The sequence below is a fragment of the Homo sapiens genome, chromosome 19 (genome assembly GCF_000001405.40).
Source record: "Homo sapiens chromosome 19, GRCh38.p14 Primary Assembly".
In the NCBI taxonomy this organism is placed as follows: domain Eukaryota; kingdom Metazoa; phylum Chordata; class Mammalia; order Primates; family Hominidae; genus Homo; species Homo sapiens.
The window spans coordinates 3,869,225-3,894,153 of NC_000019.10; the positions used below are offsets into that span (position 1 = coordinate 3,869,225).

At 52.1% G+C, this 24,929-nt stretch overlaps 1 protein-coding gene and 1 pseudogene across 2 annotated transcripts in view, besides 4 other annotated features; both read left to right on the forward strand.

The window, feature by feature from the left end:
- Positions 1,570-2,983, forward strand: FTLP5 (ferritin light chain pseudogene 5; annotated as a pseudogene).
- Positions 1,901-2,400: an enhancer, noted in NCBI's record as "H3K4me1 hESC enhancer chr19:3871123-3871622 (GRCh37/hg19 assembly coordinates)". NCBI's record gives its function as "activates a minimal SCP1, AML or CMV promoter by ChIP-STARR-seq in naive H9 embryonic stem cells {active_cell/tissue: H9 hESC(naive)}" and the evidence as "EXISTENCE:reporter gene assay evidence [ECO:0000049][PMID:30033119]".
- Positions 7,727-8,021: a silencer, noted in NCBI's record as "tiled region #13254; HepG2 Repressive DNase unmatched - State 10:DNaseD, and K562 Repressive DNase matched - State 10:DNaseD". NCBI's record gives its function as "represses a minimal TATA promoter and a strong SV40 promoter by Sharpr-MPRA in HepG2 and K562 cells {active_cell/tissue: HepG2 | K562}" and the evidence as "EXISTENCE:reporter gene assay evidence [ECO:0000049][PMID:27701403]".
- Positions 7,784-7,984: a silencer, noted in NCBI's record as "peak3259 fragment used in MPRA reporter construct". NCBI's record gives its function as "represses an SCP1 promoter by STARR-seq MPRAs in K562 erythroleukemia cells {active_cell/tissue: K562}" and the evidence as "EXISTENCE:reporter gene assay evidence [ECO:0000049][PMID:32103011]".
- Positions 11,136-11,666: an enhancer, noted in NCBI's record as "H3K4me1 hESC enhancer chr19:3880358-3880888 (GRCh37/hg19 assembly coordinates)". NCBI's record gives its function as "activates a minimal SCP1, AML or CMV promoter by ChIP-STARR-seq in naive H9 embryonic stem cells {active_cell/tissue: H9 hESC(naive)}" and the evidence as "EXISTENCE:reporter gene assay evidence [ECO:0000049][PMID:30033119]".
- Positions 11,461-24,929, forward strand: part of ATCAY (ATCAY kinesin light chain interacting caytaxin) — a 47,398-nt gene continuing 33,929 nt past the window's right edge. Inside the window, exons 1-2 of one of the 2 annotated variants that reach the window (NM_033064.5) lie at positions 11,461-11,784; positions 16,503-16,620. In NM_033064.5, coding sequence (NP_149053.1) covers positions 16,544-16,620 — 77 coding nt within the window. In that variant the 5' untranslated portion in view covers positions 11,461-11,784; positions 16,503-16,543. Of the gene's footprint in view, positions 11,785-16,502; positions 16,621-24,421; positions 24,515-24,929 lie in introns of those variants that run through there. The other variant, XM_047439578.1, reaches the window with a different exon arrangement.

Here is a 24,929-nt window from a genome sequence, read left to right on the forward strand (position 1 = left end):
CTCTTAACCACTCAAATGTGGAGGTCTCTGCTCAAGCCCCGCCCATGCTAGAAGCCCTGCCTCTTTCTCGGAGCCCCACATTCCCTTTAACCACTCAGATGTGGTGGTATCTGATCAAGTCCCGCCCATGCTACAAGCCCCGCCTCTTACTCAGAGCCCTGCCTTCCCTTTACCCACTCAGATGTGATCTCTGCTCAACCCCCACCCATGCCACAAGCCCCGCCTTTTTTTGGAACCGTACCTTCCCTTTAACCATTCAGGTGTGGAGGTCTCTGCTCAAGCCCCACCCATGCCACAAGCCCCGCCTCTTTCTCGGAGCCCCGCCTTCCCTTTACCTGCTCAGATATGGTCTCTGCACAAGCCCTACCTCTGTCTCCGAGCCCCACCTTCTCTTTAACCACTCAGATGTGGAGGTCTCTGCTCAAGCCCCACCACCACCACAGCCAGCTAATTTTTAAATTTTTTGTAGAGACAGTGTCTTGCTATGTTGCCCAGGCTGATGTTGAACTCCTGGCCTCAAATAATCTTGCCTTGGCCTCCAAAAGTGCTGGGATTACAGACGTGAGCCACTGCATCTAGCCTCAGAATGACTCTTCAGAAGGCCCCCATGGTCTCTGCCTCCTGTGTTCACAACGTGATATAAATAAATGATAGGCCGGGCACAGTGGCTCACGTCTGTAATCCCAACATTTTGAGAGGCGGAGGCAGGAGGATCTTGAGCCCTAGGACTTTGAGACTAGCCTGGGCAACATAGCAAGACCCTGTTTCTACAATTTTTTTTTAATTAGCTGGTCATGGTGGTACATGCCTGTGGTCCCAGCTACTCAGGAGGCTAAGGTGGGAGGATCACTTGAGCCTGGGCTGTCAAGGCTGCAGTGATCTGTGACTGTACCACTGCACTCCAGAGTGAGACCCTGTCTCAAAAAAGAGAAAAGAAAGAAAGGGCTGGGCGTGGTGGCTCACGCCTGTAATCCCAGCACTTTGGGAAGGCGAGGTGGGCAGCTCACCCAAGGTCAGGAGTTCAAGAGCAGCCTAGCCAACATGGCAAAACCCTGTCTCTACTAAAAATACAAAAAAAAAAATTAGCCAGGCGTGGTGGGGCACACCTGTAATCCCAGCTACTCGGGAGGCTGAGGCAGGAGAATTACCTAACCCAGGAGGTGGAGGATGCAGCGAGCCGAGATCACACCACTGTACTCCAGCCTGGGCAACAGAGCAATACACCGTCTCAAAAAAATAAAAAAATAAAAAATAAAAAAATAAATAAATAAATAATAAAAGAGGAGAGGGAGAGGAGCAGGGAGGGAGGGAAGGGAAGGAAAGAAGAGAGAGAGAGAGAGAGAGAGAAAGAATTGAATGAATAAACAAATAAATGGAGGCAAACAGACAAATCTCTTATGCAGAAGAATTCCTAATTTGTGTAGCTACACTGCGCTTAAGGAGATAGAGAGTAACTCTACACCTCTTGAGTGTGGGTTGTGCATAGTGACTTCCTTCCCAAGACTGCAGCCTGGAAGGAGGGGGAGGGAGAGTCACTTGACAGTATTGAAACCTGACAAGCAGCAGCGTGTTTGGCGGTCCCGCGGATCCGTCTCTTGCTTCCACAGTGTTTGGATGGAACAGATCCGGGAACTCACTTCCAGCCTCCGACCACCCGCTGATTTCCTCTCTTCTTGCAACCTCCAGGAGCATCGGCTCAGCCATCTCCTGCTTCTCGGACCAACCAACGCCGTTTTTTTGGTTAGCTCCTTCTTGCCGACCAACCATGAGCTCCCAGATTCGTCAGAATTATTCCACCGCGGTGGAGGCAGCCGTCAACCGCCTGGTCAGTTTGCACCTGCGGGCCTCCTACACCTCCTCCCTCTGCGGGTTTTTTTTTTTTTTTTTTTGCTTGTTTTTTTTTTGAGACGGAGTCTGGCTCTGTCGCCCAGGCTGGAGTGCAGTGGTGCGATCTCTGCTCACTGCAAGCTCCGCCTCCTAGGTTCACGCCATTCTCCCGCCTCAGCCTCCCGAGTAGCTGGGACTACAGGCGCCCACCACCACGCCTGGCTAATTTTTTTGTATTTTTAGTAGAGACGGGGTTTCACCGTGTTAGCCAGGATGGTCTCGATCTCCCGACCTCATGATCCGCCTGCCTCGGCCTCCCAAAGTGCTGGGATTACAGGCGTGAGCCATCGTCTGCGCTTCTATTTCGATCACCAAGATGTGGCTCCGGAATGCGGGGCTTACTTCTTCCATGAATTGGCCAAGGAGAAGCGCAAGGGTGTTGAGCGTCTCCTGAAGATGCAAAACCAGCGTGGTGGCCCTGCTGTCTTCCAGGACATCCTGAAGCCAGGTCAAGATGAGTGGGGTAAAACCCTGGAAGCCATGGAAGCCGCCATGGCCCCGGGGAAAAATCTCAACCAGAGTCTTTTGGATCTTCATGCACTGGGTTCCGCCCCTACAGACCCCCATCTCTGTGACTTCCTGGAGAGTCACTTCCGAGATGAGGAAGTGGGCTGCACGCGGTGGCTCACACCTGTAATCCCTGCACTTTGGGAGACCGAGGCAGGCAGATCACCTGAGGTCAGGAGTTTGAGACCAGCCTGGCCAACATGGCGAAACTCCAGTTCTTCTAAAAATACAAAAATTAGCCGGGCGTGGTGAGCTACTCAAGAGGCTGAGGCATGAGAATCGCTTGAACCCAAGAGGCAGGGGATGCAGTGAGCCGAGATCACGCTACTGCACTCCAGCCTGGGGAATAGAGTGAGGCTCTCCAAAAAAAAAAGAAGAAGAAGATGGGTGACCACCTGACCAACCTCCACAGGCTGGCCGGCCCGGAAGCTGGGGGGCCCAGAGGCTGGGCTGCATGAGTATCTCTTAGAAAAGCCGACTCTCAAACACGGCTAGGAACCTACTGAGCCCAGCGACTTCTGAAGGGCCCCACGTAAAGTAACGGGGCTTCTGCCTAAGCCTTTCCCTCCATTCACTAGGCAGCTTTTTTGTTTATTTGTTTGTTGGTTTGTTTTGTTTTGTTTTGAGAAGGAATCTCGCTCTGTCGCTGGAGTGCAATAGCACAATTTCAGCTCACTGCAACCTCCGCCTCCCAGGCTTTGGCGATCCTCCAACCTCAGCCTCCCGAGTAGCTGGGATTACTGGCATGCGCCACCACACCCGGCTAATTTTTGTATTTTTAGTAGAGACGGGGTTTCACCATGTTGGCCAGGCTGGTATCAAACTCCTGAGCTCAGGTGATCCACCCGCCTCGGTCTCCCAAAGTGCTGGGATTATAGGCGTGAGCCACTGCGCCTGGCTTTGTTATAGCACCCTGAACAGACTAAGACGCCCACTTTGAACACTAGATTCCAAAAAGCATCATAGAAGTCTTGGGCTTCTGTTAGATAGGCATGGTGGCAGGTGCCTGTGGTCCCAGCTACTCAGGAGGCTGAGGCGGGAGGATCACTTGAGCCCAGGAGGCAGAGGTTACAGTGAGCCAAGATCTCACCACTGCACTCCAGCCTGGGTGACAGAGCCAGACCCCCGTCTCAAAACAAACAAACAAACAAAAAACATAAAAGGGGCCTGGCGCAGTGGCTCATGCCTGTAATCCCAGCACTTTGGGAGGCTGAGGCGGGCGGATCACCTGAGGTCACGAGTTCAAGACGAGCCTGGTCAACATGGTGAAACCCTGTCTCTACTAAAAAATACAAAAATTAGCCAGGCAAGGTGGCGGGTGACTGTAGTCCCAGCTACTCGGGAGGCCAAGGCAGGAGAATTGCTTGAACCTGGGAGGCAGATGTTGCAGTGAGCCGAGATCGCGCCACTGCACTCCAGCCCAGGTGACGGAGTGAGACTCAGTCTCAAAACAAAACAAAACAAACAAAAAAGGAAGTCTTGGGTCTTGGGCATCTATGAACTTTTGCTTTGCTGAAGTCTTTCAAATCAGTTGGCTTTTTGACAATGGAGTATTACGAGAGCATTAAAGTAAGAAGTGCATTCAGCAGATACAGGGCTACTAATTCTTGGACAGGCTCCATGGAGAGCCCAGGGTGCTGAGGGAAGCCACATTTGGTGATTTAGCGGATGGCACTCTTCCATCTGTAACTCCATGACCATGTGTGGCCACCAGGAATGGTCTGGTGGGTCTGGCCAGTGCAGCTCTCCCTGCCATGCCCTGGCTAAAGTCCAACAAGGTAATTAATTGCACACGGCCTCTCTCCAAGTCCCTGCCGTTCTAATTAGGTAATGAAGGCTGTGTCTCTTTACAAAGGATCTGTTGTAGTGTTTTCTCTGGGTTGCATTTTTTCTATTATTTACTGCAAGGATTGTGCTAAATGCTTTACATGCAAAATGTGATCTAGTTCCCACAACAGCCTTCAGAAGGCCGGGCATGGTGGCTTACACCTGTAATCCCAGCACTTTGGGAGGCCGAGGTTGGGAGTTCAAGACCAGCCTGGCTAACATAGTGAAACCCTGTCTCTATTAAAAATACAAAAAAATTAGCTGGGCGTGGTGGTAGTTGCCTATAATCCCAGCTACTCAGGAGGCTGAGGCAGGAGAACTGCTTGAACCTGGAGGGCAGAGGTTGCAGTGAGTTGAGATCACACCACTGCACTCCAGCCTGGGTGAAAGAGTGAAACTCTGTCTCAAAACAAAAAAAAAACCAAAAAAAAAAAAAACAGCCTTCAGAAGTAGAAACAGGCATAGTGGCTCATACCAGTAACCCCAGCTACTTCGGAGGCCAAGGCAGGAGGATTGCTTGAGCCCAGGAGTTTGAGACCAGTCTGGGCAACATAGGGAGACCCCATCTCTACAAAATACAAAAATTAGCTGGATGTGGTTGTGTGTGCCTGTAGTCCTAGCCACTTAGGAGGCTGAGGTGGGAGGATCGCTTGAGCCCAGGAGGTGGAGGCTGCAGTGAGCCATAAGTGTACCACTGCATTCCAGTCTGGGTGACACAGCAAGACCCAGTCTAAAAAAAAAGAAAGAAAGAAAAGAAAAGAAAAAAGAGGCCAGGCGTGGTGGCTCACACCTATAATCCCAGCACTTTGGGAGGCCAAGGCAGGCAGATCATGAGGTCAGGAGATGGAGACCATCCTGGCTAACACAGTGAAACCCCGTCTCTACTAAAAATACAAAAAAATTAGCAAGGCATGGTGGCACCTGTAGTCCCAGCTACTCGGGAGGCTGAGGCAGAAGAATGGCATGAACCCGGGAGGCGGAGCTTGCAGTGAGCCGAGATTGCACCACTGCACTCCAGCCTGGGCGACACAGCAAGACTCCGTCCCCCAAAAAAAAAAAAAAAAGAAGTAGACACAGTCGATTCTCATTAATTCTGTTCTCTAAAGTCAATACCAAGCTCACTAATACTGACCATCGCTCCTAAGAGAAACACGAGGTTGAGTTCCTGTGAGCCTCTAGTCACAGTGTTTGCATCAACCATCAATACACGACCTCGGCCAGTGCAGTGGCTCACGCCTGTAATCCCAGCACTTTGAGAGGATGAGGAGGGCGGATCAACTGAGGTCAGGAGTTCGAGACCCGCCTGACCAACATCTCTACTAAAAATACAAAATTCGCCAGGAGTGGTGGTGCATGCCTGTAATCTCAGCTACTCAGGAGGCTGAGGCAGGAGAATCACTTTAACCCAGGACGTGGAGGTTGCAGTGAGCTGAGATTGCGTCATTGCACTCCAACCTGGGCAATAAGAGCGAAACTCCGTCTCAAAAAAAAAAAAAAAGAAAAAAAAGAAAGTTCAAATGTCTAGCCAACCGGGATTAGTTCAGATTGTGTGACCCGACCCCGGCCAATGGGGAAAGGGCACAGGGGCAGGACTTGCCTCAGGAATAAAGGCTCTCATGCCCCTTTGTTCAGGTGCGCTCTCATGACGACTGGACAAAGAAAAACACCTCTCTGCGCAGAAGTAAAATTGCTTTGCTAAAATCCCTTTGTTTGTGTATTCAATCTTCTTAGGATTTTGAGCGTTATTCCCAACAAATAGACATGGTTGATTCATTCACATTGAACTCATAGCACTTTTACTCATATCTGAAGTTCTCTAACACACTGCTTTTCTTCTTGGAGCTTTCTTTTTTTTTTTTTTTGAGATGGAGTCTTGCTCTGTTGCCCAGGCCAGACTGAAGTGGCGCGATCTTGGCTCACTGCAAGCTCCGCCTCCCGGGTTCACGCCATTCTCCTGCCTCAGCCTCCCGAGTAGCTGGGACCACAGGCGCCCGCCACCACGCCCGGCTAATTTTTTGTATTTTTAGTAGAGACGGGGTATTGCCGTGTTAGCCAGGCTGGTCTCGATGTCCTGACCTTGTGATCCGCCCACCTCAGCCTCCCAAAGTGCTGGGATTACAGGCGTGAGCCACCGCGCCCGGCCTCTCCTTGGAGCTTTCTTGCACTTAGGAAGACTAGACAGTGCTTCAGCATGAAGCTTGGAAGTCATTTTATTTTATGGATTTATTTATTTATTTTTGAGACAGAGTCTTGCTCTTTCACCCAGGCTGGAGTGCAGTGGCGCAGTCTCAGCTCACTGCAACCTCCGCCTCCCTGGTTCAAGCAATTCTCCTGCCTCAGCCTCCTGAATAGCTGGGATTGCAGGCGCGTGCCACCACGCCCGGCTAATTTTTGTATTTTTAGTACAGACGGGGTTTCACCATGTTGGCCAGGCTGGTCTTGAACTTCTGACCTCCTGACCACCCACTTTGGCCTCCCAAAGTGCTGGGATTATACGCGTGAGCCACATTGCCTGGCCTGTATCAAGCATTCTTTTAGGGCAGAATTTTTCTTGCTCAGTACCGTGGACATTGGGACCAGATTATTCTCTGGGGCGGAGCCATCCTGGGCACTGCAGGGTGCTGAGCAGCGTCCCTGGCCCCCATCCACTCCATAACAGGAGTATCCCCCAGTCGCAACAAACACAAGTGTCCCCAGAAATCGTCCGGTGTCCGCTGCGGGCAGGATCACCACCCCCCCAGGTGACAGCCACTGGTGTAGGGGTTAAAGATACAGGGTGACAGGCCGGGATTACACCTGTAATCCCAGCACTGAGCCCAGCACTCCTGGCCTCAAGTGATCCACCCGCCTCAGACTCCCAAAGTGCTGGGATTACAGGTGTGAGCCACTGCACCCAGCCCACAAGAAAATTTTCTACAAGCTCACCTTCAGAAAAGTTTCAAGATCCTACAAAATCTAGCCCTTTTGTGCATTTCCAAACGAATTCCTCAGGGATGGCCGGCAGAATAATGGCCCCTAAAGATATCCACACCCACTGGGTGTGGTATGTTTGCCTGGGAAAAATAGTGAGACCCCATCTCTACAAAAAATTGTCAAATTAACCAAGTGTGATGGCATACACCTGTAGTCCCAGCTGCCAGGGAGGCTGAGATAGGAGGATCACTTGAGCCCAGGAGGTTGAGGCTGCAGTGAGCCATGATCACACCCCCGCACTCCAGCCTGGGCTACAGAGCAAGAACCTGTCTCAAAAAAATTAAATTAAATTAAAATTTTTCCATTTTAAAATTAAAATAAAACGAAATGAAAACAGACAGAGGCCAGCTGCAGTGGCTCACACCTGTGATCACAGCACTTTGGGAGGCCAAGGTAAGCGGATCACCTGAGGTCAGGAGTTTGAGACCAGCCTGGCCAACATGGTGAAACCCCGTCTCTACTAAAAATACAAAAATTAGCCTGGCGTGGTGGTGGGTGCCTGTAATCCCAGCTACTCGGGAGGCTGAGGCAGAAAAATCGCCTGAACCTGGGAGGTAGAGGTTGCAGTGAGCCGAGATCGCACCAGCCTGGGTGACAGAGCAAGCCTCTGTCTCAAAGGGAAAAAAAAACAGGGAACCAAGCTTAGGTCACACGCTGTGGCTCCTCGGTGGTGGCTGTAGCACCATGGACAGCTCCCAGGCTTTGGTGGACTGGGGAGAAGCTGTTGCTCTTTAAATGCCAGTCTGGGCAGGCCTGTCTGTCCAGAATATGCCTTCCTCCCTCTTTTTTATTCATCTAACTCCACTCACTCCTCAGGGGTCTCACTCATGCAGTCGCCACCTCTGTGCCCCACCAGGAAACCTCCCCAACGGTCCCCCAACCTGCACCACTCCAAAGATGTCTCTAGATCAGCCCAGACTCTGTTGTCCACCTGTTTCTCTCAACTGAATGGGAATTATTTATTTTTTTTTTTTTTGAGATGGAGTCTCACTCTGTCACCCCACCTGGAATGCAGTGGCTCAATCTGGGCTCACTGCAACCTCCACCTCCCGGGTTCAAGCGATTCTCCTGCCTCAGTCTCCCGAGTAGCTGGAATTACAGGCGCCCACCGCCACGTCTGACCAATTTTTGTATTTTTAGTAGAGGCGGGGTTTCACCATGTTGTCCAGGCTGGTCTCAAACCCCCAACCTCAAGTTATCTGCCCGCCTCAGCCTCCCAAAGTGCTGAGATTACAGGTGTGAGCGGCCTCCCAAAGTGCTGGGATTACATGCCTGGCCTCAACTGAATGGTCATTCTAAGAGAATTCCCAATCCTGCACACAAAAACAGCATAAATTAACTGAATTAGGGAAGCCACGCCTCTGCCAGCCGTGAGCTGGGAAGAAGCAGATACCTCAGAGGCAGGGAGCGCAGGCGGGTGATGATGAGAGGGGCCACAGCCGCAGCCCCACGCAGGGGAGCCCACCACTAACCCTGCACCCCCACCCCTGCACAAAAGAGCTGGTGGGCACTAGCCATATCGCCTTGCAACCTTCCTCGGATGCAGAATCCACTCCTTCAGGCATCCTCTTCCTCCAATGCTCTGAAGGCCTGGGGAGCCTGAGAGATGCCCGCTGCACCCAGGCAGGGCTCGCCTTTGTTTGCCAGTAATGGGAATTACTCATATCTTGTGCCCAGTGCCCAGCACAGGGACTCATCGAATCCACCCCTCAGTTAACACAAGTGTCTCTTACAAGACCTCCATTTTCTCCAGCCAGGAGATGGGAAGTCCCAACCTTGTGCTAAAGTCTCTGGGGCCTCTGCTTCCCCATCAGGGCTTTCTGCCTCTGCTGTGGGCAGGTTACCTTTATGCCTCGGAAGAGTGCAGACCTCCATGCAGCGGGTGAGGCTGCCAGCCTAGGTGGGGTGTCATTGAATGTCATGAAGGGAGCCAGCCTTCATGCACTCTGCCTGCGTCTCCTGAACAGCTTTGGACCAGGAGTTGCTACCTTGTGCGGAGAACGTGTGGTGCATAAGAACAACCGAGCCTCTGCTCTTCGAAAATGTATATTCTGGCCAGGTGCGGTGGCTCACGCCTGTAATCCCAACACTTTGGGAGGCCAAGGTGGGCAGGTTGCCTGAGGTCAGGAGTTTAAGACCAGCCTGGCCAACATGGTGAAACCCCGTTTCTACCAAAAATAAAAAAAATAGCTGGGTGTGGTGGTGCATGCCTGTAGTCCCAGATGCTTGGGAGGCTGAGGCATGAGAATCGCTTGAACCTGAGAGGAGGAGGAGGTTGCGGTGAGCTGAGATCACACCACTGCACTCCAGCCTGGGAAACAGAGCAAGTCTCTGTCTCAAAACAAAACAAAACAAAACAAAACCCAGTATATTCTAATAAGGAGGAGCAGAGAATCAACAACAACAACAAAAAAGTGTAAATAATTTCAATTAATAGTAAGTGCTGTGGGTCAGGCACGGTGGCTCACACCTATAATCCCAACATTTTTCGAGGCTGAGATGAGAGGCTCACTTGAGCCCAAGAATTCAAGACCAGCCTGGGCAATAGAGAGATACCCTATTTCTACAAAAATTACACAGATTAGCAGGGCGTGGTGGTAGGAGCCTGTAGTCTCAACCACTGGAGAGAAAGAGGTGTAAGGATCACCTGAGCCCGGGAGTTCAAGACTGCAGCGAGCTGTGATTGTGCCATTGCACTCCAGCCTGGATGACAGGGAAAACTCCTGTTTCTTAAAAAAATAAGTAAATAAAATAAACATTAAAAACAGCAATAGCAAGAAATACATATAGGCCGAGCACAGTGATTCGCACCTCTAATCCCAGCACTTTGGGAGGCCAAGGTGGGCGGATCACCTGAAGTCAGGAGTTCGAGACCAGCCTGGCCAACATGTTGAAACCCCGCCTCTACTAAAAATACAAAAAAAAAATTAGCCAGGTGTGGTGGTGTGTGCCTGTAATCCCAGCTACTTGGGAGGCTGAGGGAGGAGAACCACTTGAACCTGGGAGTCGGAGGTTGCAGTGAGCCAAGATCGCACCACTGTACTCCAGCCTGGCAACAGAGCGAGACTCCACCTAAAAAAAAAAAAAAAAGAAAGAAAGAAAGAAAGAAAGAAAGAAAGAAAGAAAGAAAGAAAGAAAGAAAGAAAGAGAAAGAAACACATAGGGAGCTTTTCTTGTGCCCCAGCACTGTGTTTAGTGCTGTCTATGCATTATCTCATAATGTGGAAAAGCCATAGCGGCTCCATTTCACAGATGAGAAAAACTGAGGCCCGCAGGTGAGATCACTCATGCCCACTGGTCTGCCAGCTGGGGAGTGGCTGGGCTAGAGTTCAAACCCACTTCCAGTCCGACTGCACGGCCTGCACTCTCCACCCTACCATCTTCCACAGTCTCCTTGAATTCCTCCAGGGCGAGGCCACGCCAGCGCACAACTGCAGGGGGCGCCGTTCCCACAGCAGCCCTGCAAAGTGAGTGTGCCTGAGAAACTTCCGCCTCCCCTGCACCCAGCCCTGTTTAGGGCACGAGGCTGAATCAATGGTAAGTGACCATCTAATGGACCCACAACACGGTGACCTGGGGACAGTCATTTCTTTCTTTTTTTTTTTTTTTCTTTGAGACAGAGTCTCCCTCTGCCGCCCAGGCTGCAGTGCAGTGGCGCCATCTCGGCTCACTGCAACCTCCGCCTCCCAGGTTCAAGCGATTCTCCTGCCTCAGCCTCCCGAGTAGCTGGGATTACAGGCGCACGCCACCACGCCTGGCTAATTTTTGTATTTTCAGTAGAAACGGGGTTTCACCATGTTGGCCAGGCTGGTATCGAACTCCTGACTTCAGGTGATCCTCCCTCCTCGGCCTCCGAAAGTGCTGGGATTACAGGCGTGAGCCATGGCATCCGACCTGGGGACAGTCATTTCTTTGCCTGCACAGACTTTTTGGGGGATGCCACCCCTCACCCCTGCTCCCTTTGCAAGGAGAAGTGCCAAGAAGACCTTTCCCAACTCCCCCACCCCCCATTCTCTAAGGAATGAGGCCATCTTGCCATTTATTTATTTATTTGTCCGTTGTTTTGTTTTTAAATCTCTGATGCGCCATCAGAAAATTATTTCTGCCTCTGCCCCTGGCGTGGCTTTCGGAGATGCTTGTCTGTCAGCCAATGGGGAGGATCGGATTCTGGCAGGGGGCTGTGCTTTTCCGTCAGGCCGCCACCCCCCACCCCCTCCTCCCTGCACACAAAAGCAGCATAAATTAACCGTCTTCGGGAAGCCGAGCCTCTGCCAGCCCTGAGCTGGGAAGAAGCAGCTACCTCGGAGGCAGGGCGCGCAGGCGGGCGGCGATGAGAGGGGGCGCAGCCGCAGCCCCGCGCTGGGGAGCCCACCGCTAACCCTGCACCCCACCCACCCCTGCACAAAAGAGCTGGCGGGCGCTGGCCACGTCGCCCTGGGTGACCTTCCTCGGATGCAGAATCCGCCCCTGCGAGCATCCTCTTCCTCCTAGGCTCTGAAGGCCCGGGGAGCGTGAGCGATGCCCAGCTGCACCCGGGCAGGGCTCGCCTTTGTTTGCCAGTAAGGAGGAGAGGCTGTCTCAGCTGCAGAGGTGAGTGCGCGCATCTCCCCTTCTCCCAGGATAAACCGTCTCCCTGGAAGGTTTATCCGGCAGCCTTTGCCGCCTCTAAATCCCTTTCCAGCAGATGGGGCGGGTGGGAGCAGAGAGCCACGGTCTTGTGACTCCGTGAAGGCCCTCACATCCCTGTTCCCGGTACCAGGGAAAACCGTTCCCTGAGCTGCGCCCAGCAACACAGTTTACCTTCCGCGCGCACCGTTCCCCTCTAAGTGCACCATTTTCAGGACACGCTGAGAGCTCGGGCGGATGAAAACCTCAGCTTCTCTCTGGGACGCTGAAATAGACCCATCCTAGCCCTATGTATTTCCTATTTATAACGCTAGGAAGGCCACCAGCCGACGATTTCGGGAAAAAAAAAAAAAAAAAATCTAAGTGTGTCGATAAAGGCTGTCCTGTGGGGTGGGGAGGAAGGGGGTGGTTTATGGTTTAAGACACAGATGCCTCCTCCTTATTGGAACTCGTATGTGATTTGTTAATAATCAGACATCAGGGCTCAAATGAGCGCTTCACTCCCGTTCCTTGATGTCACTGTCTTCTTTTGGCCGTCCCCAAATGCGAAGCCAGGATCTGAGTGCAGGAGTGTCCGGGGCCCACTGAGGACCCACCCCACCCCATCCTTAGAAGACTGTGGAGTCAACGCCTGTGGCTGCAGCTGGCAGGGGGTGGGGGTCGGGGGCGGGGCTGGTGGGAGTGTTCCTGGGGGCTGAGGTCACACCCAGCTCAGTATAAGGAAGGGAGAGGCGAAGACCCCTTCCTCCGGAGAGCAAATGCGTTTCTACTGCCGAGGAGAACTTACCCTCGCGGGAAGGGCCTGGCTGGCTGCTGCCACCGCCCCCCCCCCGACCCCATAGCATCCAGGAGGGATTTTTTTTTTTTCCATGCTGCGTGTTACTGTCCCTCCTCCAAGCATGAATGACGACATTGAGGACAGAGAATCGAGTGAGAAACGCTCACCCTGTACGGGGGAGGGTCTAGTTTTAGCCGTCCCCTCCCCCCACTTCCTCATCTGGCTGAGGCTGCCTCTGGGTCCTTCCTTGCTAAGCCACAGTCCCCTGTCCCCGATGCAAACCCGATATCTATGCTGGGGGGCTGCAGGTAACCTACTCCACAGAGAGGCAGCCTGGATGCCATGAGAGTTGGGGGCCTTAGATGCTTCATGTATTTGGTTTTTTTGAGACAGGGTCTTGCTATCTTGCCCGGGCTGGTCTTAACCTCCTGTGCTCAGGCGATCCTCGCAAAGTGCTGGGATTACACGTGTGAGCCACTGCCCCCAGCCAGATGCTTTATCTTTTATTTTATTTTTTGAAGTAGGGTCTCTGTTGCTCAGGCTGGAAAGCAGTGGCATGATCATAGCTCACTGCAGTCTCGACCTCCTGGTCTCAAGCGATCCTCCAACTTCAGCCTCCTGAATAGCTGGGACTTCAGGCACCAGGCACCCATCACCATGTTTGGTTAATTTTTGTATTTTTTTTTTTTTAAGAGATGGGGACTTGCTATGTTGCCCAGGCTGGTCTTGACCTTCCAGGCTCAAGCGATCCTCCTATCTCAGCCTCCCAAAGTGCTGGGGATTACAGGTGTGAGCCACCGCACCAGCCAGATGCCTTATTTTATTTTATTTTATTTTCTGAAATAGAACCTCACTCTGTTGCTCAGGCTGGAATGTGGTGGCACAATCATACCTCACTGCAGCCTCCACCTCCTGGGCTCAGGCAATCCTCCCACCTCAGCCTCCTGAACAGCTGTGACTTCAGGCACCCACCAAATTTAATTAATTTTTGTTTTTGTTTTTGCTTTTCGTAGAGATGGTGTCTTGCTATGTTGCCCAGGCTGGTCTTGACCTTCTGGGCTCAATCCTCCCACCTCAGCCTCCTGAATAGCTAAGACCTCAGGCACCCACCATTGTGCTTGGTTAGTTTTTGTATTTTTTTTTTGAGAGATGGGGTCTTGCTGTGTTGCCCAGGCTGGTCTCGAACCCCTGGTCTCAAGTGATCTGCCCAAAGTGCTGGAATTCCAGGCATGCACCACTGCACCCAGCCCCTAGACGCTTTAAAAAGTGGATCTAGTGGCCCGGCAGGGTGGCTCACACCTGTAATCCCAGCACTTTGGGAGGCAGGTGGATCATGAGGTCAGGAGTTCGAGACCAGCCTGGCCAATATAGTGAAACCCCATCTCTACTAAAAATACAAAAATTAGCTGGACGTGGTGGCACGCGCCTGTAGTCCAAGCTACTCAAGAGGTGGAGGTTGCAGTGAGCCGAGATCGCACCACTGCACTCTAGCCTGGGCGACAGAGCGAGACTCTGTCTCAAAAAAAAAATGACAACAAAAAAAGTGGATCTAGCTACTCGGAAGCTGTTGAGAGACAGACAGAGGTAATGGAAGGACAGAGTGTACAATACTCTATAATGACTGCCGGACACAGGCCTGAAATCCTTTCGCAAACACGGGAATGCACACAGAAATGACTATTGCCTTTAAGACAAGGTTTCTCCACCTTGGATCTATGGATATTTGGGACCCAGTCATTCTTGGTCATGGGCGGCCATCCTGGGCACTGTAAGGTGCTGAGCAGCACCCCTGGCCTGCCCAGGGGGCACTCCTTCCCCTCAGTTGTGACAAAAGTGCCTCTAGACAATGCCAAGTGTCCCCTTGCAGCAGGGGAGGCAGAATTGTCCACAGGTGCAAAGCACTGGTTTCAAAGCCCAAAACAGATGGGGTTGGTTGAGTCATAAGATGCTGGTATGTTATGTCCAAAAGGTATCTTAGAGGTCATCTCTAATTCAACTCTTTTGTTTACAGAAAGGGAAACTGAGACCCAGAGAGGGAGATGGTCTGAGAGTCTGCCATGCCCCAGAGCAGACCACAACTCAGTCTCACCTGGCAGCTCTGATCCTGGCCCCCACCCAGACTGCTCCCCCCTGCCCTGCCCCTGCCCCTGCCCCCAGTGAGCTCCTCAGAACAAGAAAAACAAAACTGGTGTGGGGGGTGGGGCGGCACAGTGGCTCACACCTGTAATCCCAGCGCTCTGGGAGGCTGAGGCAAGAGGATCACCTGAGCCCGAAAGTTCAAGACCAGCCTGGGTGACATACCAAGATCAGAGAAATTAGCCAGGCATGATGGCACACACTCGTGGTCCCAGATACTTGGGAGGCTGAGGCAGGAGGATCGCTTGAGCCCAGGAGTTGGAGGCTGTAGTGAGCTGGGATCACACCACTGCACTCCAGCCTGGGCGACAGAGCAAGACCCCGTCTCTAAATAAATAAATAAATAAATAAAGTGGCATTTTGTGGTAGTAAAGATGAGGGTCTCCTTTCTAACCCCAGTCTCTTTCCACACTGCCTTAGTGAGCCCTGGAGTCAGAAAGTCACTAGGACTTGCTTGAGGGAGGACAGAGAGGCAGGACAGGTGGCCTGGTACATATGGCAGATAGCGATGGGTTAGAGCCTACTGGATTCTCTTTGAACTTGGCATTCCCAGCACGGAAGCTGAAGTATATCAGCCATTCACACTTTAGTATGAATGACTGTTTGGATTTCTTGCTTTCTAGTTGAGGTCCAAGGCACAAGAGGGAGGGTAAGTCTATCTGGGTCATGGCTCACCCTGGAGAAGGTAGATTTCGAAGTTTCCAAGGGAGCAGGACTTGTATCTGAAGGCTCAGCCTCTCGCCCACGTTCAAACTCTGAACCCCACTGTGCATCCTAAGCTCTCTGTGCCTCTGTTTTCTCATCTGTAAAACAGGGGAACCTCATGGGGCTCGGTGATGGTTCAATAAGAAGTGCTGGCCGGGCACAGTGGTTTACCCTTGTAATCTCAGCGCTTAGAGAGGCCGAGGCAGGAGGATTGCTTGAGCCCAAGAGTTTGAGACCACCCTGGCCAACATAGCAAGACCCAATCTCTTAAAAAAAGATTTTAAAAAATTACCCAGGCATGATGGTACACACCTGTGGTCACAGCTACTGGTGGGGGGCTGAGGCAGGAGGATTGCTTAAGCCCAGGAGTTCAAGGCTGCCATGAGCCATGATTGTGCCCCTGCACTCCAGCCCAGGCAACAGAGCAAGATCATGTTTTTTTTTTTAAAAAAAAAAAAAAAAAAAAAAAAAACAGCCAAGCTCAGTGGCTCACCCCTGTAATCCCAGCACTTTGGGAGGCTGAGGCGGGTAGACCGCTTGAGCTCAGGAGTTTGAGACCAGCCTGGCCAACACAGTGAAACCCCGTCTCTATTAAAAATACAAAAATTAGCCGGGTGTGATGGCTCAAGCCTGTAATCCCAGCACTTTGGGAGGCCAAGGCAGGAGGATCACCTGAGGTCAGGAGTTCGAGACCAGCCTGGCCAACATGGCGAAACCCTGTCTCTACTAAAAATACAAGAATTAACCAGGCGTGGTGATGGGTGCCTGTAACCCCAGCTACTTGGGAGGCTGAGGCGGGAGAATCGCTTGAGCCTGGAAGGTGGATGTTGCAGTGAGCTGAGATGGCACCATTGCACTACAGCCTGGGCAACAGAGCAAGACTCCGTCTCAAAAAAGAAGAAGAAGAAGGAGAAGGAGAGAGGAGAGGAGAAAGGAGAGAGGGGGAGGGGAAGGGGGAGGGGGAGACGGAGGGGGAGTGGGAGGGGGAAGAGCTGCATGGGGTAGACGATTGTCATTAGGACTATTGTCCAGTAAAACCCATTCCTCTGCGGCTTCCTTTCAGGGGTCATCCCTGCTTCAAGCCAGTGCCTCTTCCCAGCTCCCATGGGGACCACCGAAGCCACGCTCCGGATGGAAAACGTGGACGTGAAGGAGGAATGGCAGGACGAAGATCTTCCCAGGTAGGACTTCCACATCCCTGAGTCAACCGTTGGGGGAGCAGGTGTCTCTCCCAGGTGGGACACAGGAGCGGCCCGGGTCTCTCTCTAAGTGGGAACCGCCCGGGGCTGGCCTGGTTCCATCTCCGCGTCCTCCTCTCCCGCACACTCTGGGAGGCCTGAGGCCCTGTGTGCGAGTCTTCTCTGTGGCCTCACAGTGGGGTAGTCCTGGCCAGGCACATAATGGGTATTTGCTCAATGATTTAAGATTCATTTCTGTCTTCCCTGCCCCAAAGCTCCAAAGGACCCCCCACCCCTACACCATTTTAAGAGTTCTTAACATTCTGGCTGGGCGCGGCGGTTCACGCCTGTAATCCCAGCACTTTGGGAGGCCGAGGTGGGCGGATCACTTGAGGTCAGGAGTTCGAGACCAGCCTGGCCAACATGGCAAAACCGCGTCTCTACTAAAACTACAAAAATTAGCTGGGCATGCCGGGCGCAGTGACTCATGCCTGTAATCCCAGCACTTTGGGAGGCCGAGGCGGGCGGATCATGAGGTCAGCAGATGGAAACTATCCTGGCTAACATGGTGAAACTCCATCTCTACTAAAAATACAAAAATTAGCCGGGTGTGTGGCAGGCGCCTGTAGTCCCAGCTACTCGGGAGGCTGAGGCAGGAGAATGGCGTGAACCCAGGAGGCGGAGCTTGCAGTGAGCCGAGATCGCGCCACTGCACTCCAGCCTGGGCGACAGGTGAGACTCCATCTCAAAAGAAAAAAAAAAAAATTAGCTGGGTATGGTGTCATGCGCCTATAATTCCAGCTACTCGGGAGGCTGAGGCACCATGGTGATTTATTAGCAGCCTTTAGGAGACACTTACCTCCCCTAACATGCTGAACTTTTTTTTTTTTTTTTTTGAGTCTCACTCTGTCCCACAGGCTGGAGTGCAGTGGCACGATCTCAGGTCACTGCAACCTCCAGGTCCTGGGTTCCAGTGATTCTCCTTCCTCATGCCCCCGAGTAGCTTGGATTACAGGCACCCGCCACCACATCTGGCTGATTTTTCTATTTTTAGTAGAGACCGGATTTCACCATGTTGGCCAGGCCAGTCTCGAACTCCGAAAGTGCTTGGATTCCAGGCAAGAGCCACCGCGCCCGGCCCCTACGCTGAACATTTTGCAGGGACATCTTGTCTACACTCTGTCTCCCCACCACACGGAGCGCCACAAGAGCAGGGGTCTTTGTTTAGCTCACTGCTGTATCCCAACCTAAGGATAGTGCCTGGCATACAGTCGGCGCTTAACAAATATTGGGTGACAGGTGCTGATCACTGGTCAGAATAAGAAATCACAGGGGCTGGGCACGGTGGCTCACGCCTATGATCCCAGCACTTACAGAGGCTCAGGCTGGGGGGATTGATAGAGCTCAAGAGTTCGAAACCAGCCTGGGCAAGATAGTGAGACCCCATTTCTACCAAAAAAAAAAAAATTAGCTGGGCATGGTGGTGTGCACCTGCAGTCTTAGCTACTTGGCAGGCTGAGACAGGAGGATCCCTTGAGCCCAGAAGGCAGAGGTTGCAGCGAGCCATGATTGCAGCCCTGCACTCCAGTCTGGGTGACAGAGCGAGACTCTGTCTCTATTTTATTTTATTTTTTTTATTTTATTTATTTATTTATTTATTTTTGAGACAGAGTGTCGCTTTGTCGCCCAGGCTGGAGTGCAGTGGCGCGATCTTGGCTCACTGCAAGCTCCGCCTCCCGGGTTCACGCCATTCTCCTGCCTCAGCCTCCCGAGTAGCTGGGACTACGGGCACCCGCCACCACGCCCGGCTAATTTTTTGTATTTTTAGTAGAGACGGGGTTTCACCATGTTAGCCAGGATGGTCTCGATCGTCTGACCTCGTGATCCGCCCACCTCGGCCTCCCAAAGTGCTGGGATTACAGGCGTGAGCCATCGCGCCCTACCACCTGTCTCTATTTAAAAAGAGAGGAAAAAAAAAAAAAAGGCCGGTCGCTGTGGCTCAGGTGTGTGTAATCCCAGCACTTTGGGAGGCCAAGGTGGGCAGATCACAAGGTCAGGAATTTGAGACCAGCCTGGCCGACATAGTGAAACCCTGTCTCTACTAAAAATAAAAATTAAAAAAAATTAGCTGGGCATGGTGGTGCACGCCTGTAATCCCCAGTACTCGGGAGGCTGAGGCAGGAGAATCACTTGAACCCGGGAGGCAGAGGTTGCAGTGAGCCGAGATGTGCCACCGCACTCCAGCCCGGGTGACAGTGTGAGACTCCGTCTCAAAAAAAAAAAAATACTACATGGAAAGGAAGCTGTGCGAATTTGCTGTTGAGACGTGTGACTCTGATTTGCTGGCTAAAGATAGCTGCTCATCCCTCTTCCCTTTCAGAACCAGGAATTCATCCATCCCCCAAACACAATGCCCAAGGGTCAGTTATAGAAACTATTGGGTGAGGTTCAGTCAAAAAGACCAGGTGTGTTCCGCCTGAAAAAGAGAATTGGAAAAGAATCTCCAGGCCGCGCACAGTGGCTCACGTCTGCAGTCCCAACAGTTTGGGAGGCCGAGGCGGGCAAATCACTTGAGGTCAGGAGTTCGAGGCCAGCCTGGACAACATGGTGAAACCCCGTCTCTACTAAAAATACAAAAATTAGTCGGGCGTGGTGGTGGGCACCTGTAATCCCAGCTACTCAGGAGGCTGAGGCAGGAAAACTGCTGGAACTCGGGAGGCGAAGGTTGCAGTGAGCCGAGATCGCGCCACTGGACTCCAGCCCGGGCAGTAGAGTGAGTGAGAGTGTCTCAAAAAAACAGAATCTCCAGTTCCAGGAAAATTTCAATCTGAGAGGGTTCCGGAGGGCAGAACGAGGCCAAAAGAACGAACTTAAAAGAGAATGGGGTTTGAAGGAGATACAGAAGAATGCCTTGAAGTAATCGGTCTCCTTCAAAATGAGTCAGGCTGGTGTGGGAGGCCGAGAGCTTCCTTCCCATTCATGTCCAGGCAGAAGGAGGACTGTTGAAGACGGCATCTTGATATTCAAGAACTTCAGCCCTCTCCTGAATCCAGTCATTGCCAGGCCTCTAAGGCCCATGCACCTGTCTGTGTTTCTTTGCAGCAGGAGGTCCCTGTTCTCAGAATAGCCGAGAATCAGAGAATCACGGCTGGGAGCGGAGGCTGATGTCTGTAATCCCAGCTCTTTGGGAGGCCAAGGCGGGAGGATCGCTTGAGCCCAGGAGTTTGAGATTAGCCTGGGCAACATAGCAAGACCTCGTCTCTTAAAAAAACAAAAAACAAACAAAAACTGGCTGGGCCTAGTGGCTCACACCTATAATCCTAGCACTTTGGGAAGCCAAGGCTGGCAGATCACCTGAGGTCAGGAGTTTGAGACCAGCCTGACCAACATGGAGAAACCCCGTCTCTACTAAAAATACAAAATTAGCCGGGCGTGGTGGCCCATGCCTGTAATACCAGCTACTCGGGAAGCTGAGGAAGGAGAATCGCTTGAACGCGGGAGGCGGAGGTTGCAGTGAGCCAAGATCGCACCACTGAACTCCAGCCTGGGCGACAGAGTGAGACTCCGTCTCAAAATAAATAAATAAAAATAAAAAATAAAAAAAAATTAGTCAGGTATGCTGGTGTGCACCTGTAGTTTCAGCTACTCAGGAGGCTGAGGCAGGAGGATTGTTTGGACTTGGGACATCGCAGCAGTGAGCTATGATCACACCACCGCACTCCAGCCTGGACAACAGAGCAAGACTGCATATCTAAGAAAAATAATAATAATTTTAAAATAATGTCATTTCAAGCAGCACAGCATAAACAAAGGCGCATAAGCTTTGGAATCGGACGCCCATGGTTCAAATCCCAATTCCCCAGCAGGTTTGCTCTGCCACCTGGGCTACCTCTTTGGGCATCTCAGTGCCTCTGTTTTCTGATCTGTAAAATAGGACAATAATCTCTCGCGCACCAGGTGGTCATGAAATTTTGATAAAACAGCCGAGATGGGCTGTGCAAATGGCGAAGGCAGCACAAATAAATAATCATCTCCAGCGTTATTACTATTATTAGCTTAGCTCCCTTTCCCCCTACTGATTTTTTTTTATTTCTTTACTTTTCTTTTCTTTTTTTTTTTTTGAGACAGAGTCTCGCTCTGTCACCCAGGCTGGGGTGCAGTGGCGCCATCTCAGCTCACTGCAACCTCCACCTCCTGGGTTCAAGTGATTCTCCTGCTTCAGCCTCCCAAGTAGCTGGATTACAGGCATCTGCCACCACGCCCAGCTCATCTTTGTATTTTTAGTAGAGACGAGGTTTCACCGTGTTGGCCAGGCTGGTCTCGAACTCTCAACCTCAGGTGATCTGCCCACCTCCCAAAGTGCTAGGATTACAGGTGTGAGCCATTGGGCCCAGCTCCACCTATAATTTTTTTTTTTTTTTTTTTTTTTTTTTTTTTTGCAGACAAAGTCTCACTCTGTCACCTAAGCTGGAGTGCAGTGGCGCGAGTTCGGCTCACTGCAACCTCCACCTCCCGGGTTCAAGCAATTCTCCCACCTCAGCCTCCCGAGTAGCTGGGATTACAGGCACACACCACCACACCCAGCTAATTTTTGTATTTTTGGTAGAGACGGGGTTTCACCATGTTGGCCAGGCTGGTCTCGAACTCCCAACCTCAAGTGATCCGCCTACCTCGGTCTCCCAAAGTGCTGGGATTACAGGCGCAAGCCACCACACCCGGCCTCCACCGATAATTTTAAAAGCTCTCATCTCACCCAAGCCTTCTTGAGACAAAAACCAAGGCCGAGCGCACCTGCAAATGCAAGCTGGAGGCCCTTTCTGGAAGGCGCGAGGCCAGCGGGAGCGGGAGGAGGGTGTGTTTCTGGTGGATTTCTTACAGCTGCAAGGCTTCTCGCCCACCCGCTGCAGCAGCTTTGTGTTTGCAGGACAGTGGCCTCGCTGTGCCAGCCTGGCCCCCACGAGCTACGCCTTTGCCAACAGGACACTTCCTCCACGAGGCTTCTGTCTTCCTCGTCTCTGGAAGAACTGAGTCGGCTCCTCGGTGCAGGTCCAGCTGCGGCCACACATAACCACCTCTGTCTGCCGCAAAACAGCTCACAATTCTGTTTCTTCCAGCCCAGCCATCCCCTCCCCTGGGGACTGCAGAAGTGGTCTTTGTACTGCCCTTAAGGGTGTCAGACAGAGCCCTGCATGGCCTCTGCCCTTCTAGCACTTTTTTTTTTTTTTTTGGAGACAGAGTCTCAGTGTATCACCCAGGCTGGAGTGCAGTGGTGCAACCTCAGCTCACTGCAACCTCCACTTCCTGGTTTCGAGCAATTCTCTTGCCTCAGCCTCCCAAGTAGCTGGGATTACAGGTACGCACCACCATGCCTGGCTCATTTTTGTATTTTCGTTAGAGACAGGGTTTCACCATGTTGGCCAGGCTGGTCTCGAACTCCTAACCTCAAGTGATTCGCCTGCCTCGGCCTCCCAAAGTGCTGGGATTACAGGTGTGAGCCACGCGCCCGGCCTCCTTCTAGCATTTTCCTTCACTCTCACCCTTCTGCAGCCTACTACGGAGCTAGAGCTGAAGGCAGCCCGGAGATTGCTGCCTCAATTTCTCCATTCATTCATTCTGATGCTATGCGCCAACTGTATACCAGTCCCTTATAGCCTCACAACCCAATACAAGGTGGCAGCTGGGTTCATGGCACTTCTGACCAGGCCAGGGAGGGAAGGGGAGCTGTGATTCTTGGCTGTGAAGGGTGAGGAGGGATGAGCCGGGGAAGGAAGTGGGGTGTAGGGGCCCCACATTCCAAGCAGAGAGGGCAGCATGTGCAAAGGCTCTGGGCTCAGTGGAAGCAGGTTGAGGGACTGGGGAAGGCTGCGTGGGGAAACTGAGGACTTGGGGGAGGAGCTTACCCAGGGCATCCTAGCCAAGGAGGGTCAGATGCAGGGTGAGCTGCCCCATAGCTCCCTCTACTCTCTTCCCCTCACAGCTGAGTGGCTGCCAGTTTTGTTTGCTTGCTTGTAACTTTTTCTTTGTTTGTTTTGGGTTTTCTGGGGGGTTTTATTTATTTATTTATTTGAAACAGAGTCTCGCTGCAACGCCCAGGCTGGAATGCAATGACGTGACCTCGGCTCGCTGCAACCTCCACTTCCCAGGTTCCAGCAATTCTCCTGCCTCAGCCTCCCAAATAGCTGAGTTTACAGGCGCCCACCACCACGCCCAGCTAATTTTTGTATTTTTAGCAGAGATGGGGTTTCACCATATTGGTCAGGCTGGTCTCGAACTACTGACCTCAAGTGATCCACCCGCCTCAGCTTCCCAAAGTGCTGGGATTACAGGCGTGAGCCACCATGCCCAGCTGCTTGTAACTTTTTAATTTTTTTTTTTTTTCCAGACGGGGTCTTGCTCTGTCACCCAGGCTGGAGTGCAGTGGTGCGATCATAGCTCACTACAGCCTCCACATCCCAGGCTGAGGCGATCCTCCCACTGCAGCCCCCTGAATACCTGGGACCACAGGCATATGCCACCACACCCAGCTATGTTTTATTTTCTGTAGAGACAGGGTCTCACTGTGTTGCCCAGGTTGGTCTCAAACTCCTGGGTTCAAATGATCCTCCCACCTCAGCCTCCCAAAATGCTGGGATTACAGGCATGAGCCACTGCGCCTGGCCTATTTGATATACTTCCAAACTTGGAAAAAAATTACAAGAATGATATAAAGAATATCTGCATACCTTTAGTAGGATTATACAATTGTTAACATTTTGCTCCTTTTATATCAAAGTCAGCCCTCAGGGCTGGGTGCGGTGACTCACATCTGTAATCCCAGCACTTTGGGAGGCCAAGGCAGGTGGATCACCTGAGGTCGGGAGTTCAAGACCAGCCTAGGCCAACATGGTGAAACCCCGTCTCTACTAAAAATACAAAAATCAACTGGGTGTGGTGGCGGGCACCTGTAATCCCAGCTACTGGGGAGGCTGAAGCAGGAGAATTGCTTAAACCCAGGAGGCAGAAGTTGCAATGAGCCCAGATTGTGCCGCCACACTCTAGCCTGAGCAACACAGCAAGACTCTGTCTCCAAAAAAAAAAATTTACCCTCAATTGTACCGATAATGTCCCATGTCCCTATTTAGCTAATGCCCCTGCCCCAAACCCTGGGTCCAAGACCCAATCTGGGACCACTCATTGCATCAGGTTGAGTATACTGGGTTGTGTGTTTACTGGGGTATGTGTCTCACCAGGCACTGGGACTTAAACTTATCTCTTTTAGGGGAACACGATCCAACCCACCTCAGCAGGACGAAGCCACGCTGTGCATCTTGCATGTGGGGGGGACCCCCACTTTTTTTTTTTTTTTTTTTTGAGACGGAGACTTGCTCTGTCGCCCAGGCTGGAGTGCAGTAGCATGATCTCAGCTCACTGCAACCTCCGCCTCCTGGGTTCAAGCGACTCTCCTGCCTCAGCCTCCCAAGTAGCTGTAGCTGGGACCACAGGCATGTGCCACCATGCCAGGCTAATTTTAGTATTTTTAGTAGAGACGGGGTTTCACCATGTTGGCCAGGCTGGTCTTGATCGCTTGACCTTATGATCCACCTGCCTCGGCCTCGCAAAGTGCTGGGATTACAGGTGTGAGCCACCATGCCCGGCTAGGATTTCCACTTTTTACCTGGATTGCCCATCATGGACTTTGAGAGCCGGCTCTGCAGAGGGCTAAGTGGATATATTATACCCCAGGGCCACGGAGGGGATCTCCAAGTCTGGAGAGTCTGCGGTTCTCCTGGAGCTTGCGGAAGTAACAGGATCTCACCTGACCTTGGAAACTGCAGCTCCATGAACAGGCGGGGAGAGCTTGCTCCACCCATGTTCCAGAGCAGTGGGTCTTCCTTCAGGGAGCCTGGAGCCCTGCCAGGTCGGCTTCTCCAGTTCTGCATGATCTTAAACCTTTCCTGAACATCCACTGCAACTGGCAGCTCAGCCTCAGGACCTCATCCCATCCCCGAGGCACTGCCTCTCCCTGGCCCTCCCTCCCTACCCTCCATCCTCCAACCACTCCCTCCTCCCCCACTGCTCTCTCTGCGCCAGGCACCCTGAGTCTGCTTTCTGATCTGCCCTTGAACTTGGCAAGCTTATTCCAGTCCCGGAGCCTGGGCCTCTGCAGTGCCTTCCATCTGGAGTGCTCTTGCCTGGTCTCTGCAGGACGCCAACATCATGCTTAAAAGTCTACACTTAAAAGTCGCTTCCAGCCAGGCACAGTGGCTCACTCCTGTAATCCCAGCACTCTGGGAGGCCAAGGCGGGAGGATCACTTGAGCCCAGGAGTTCAAG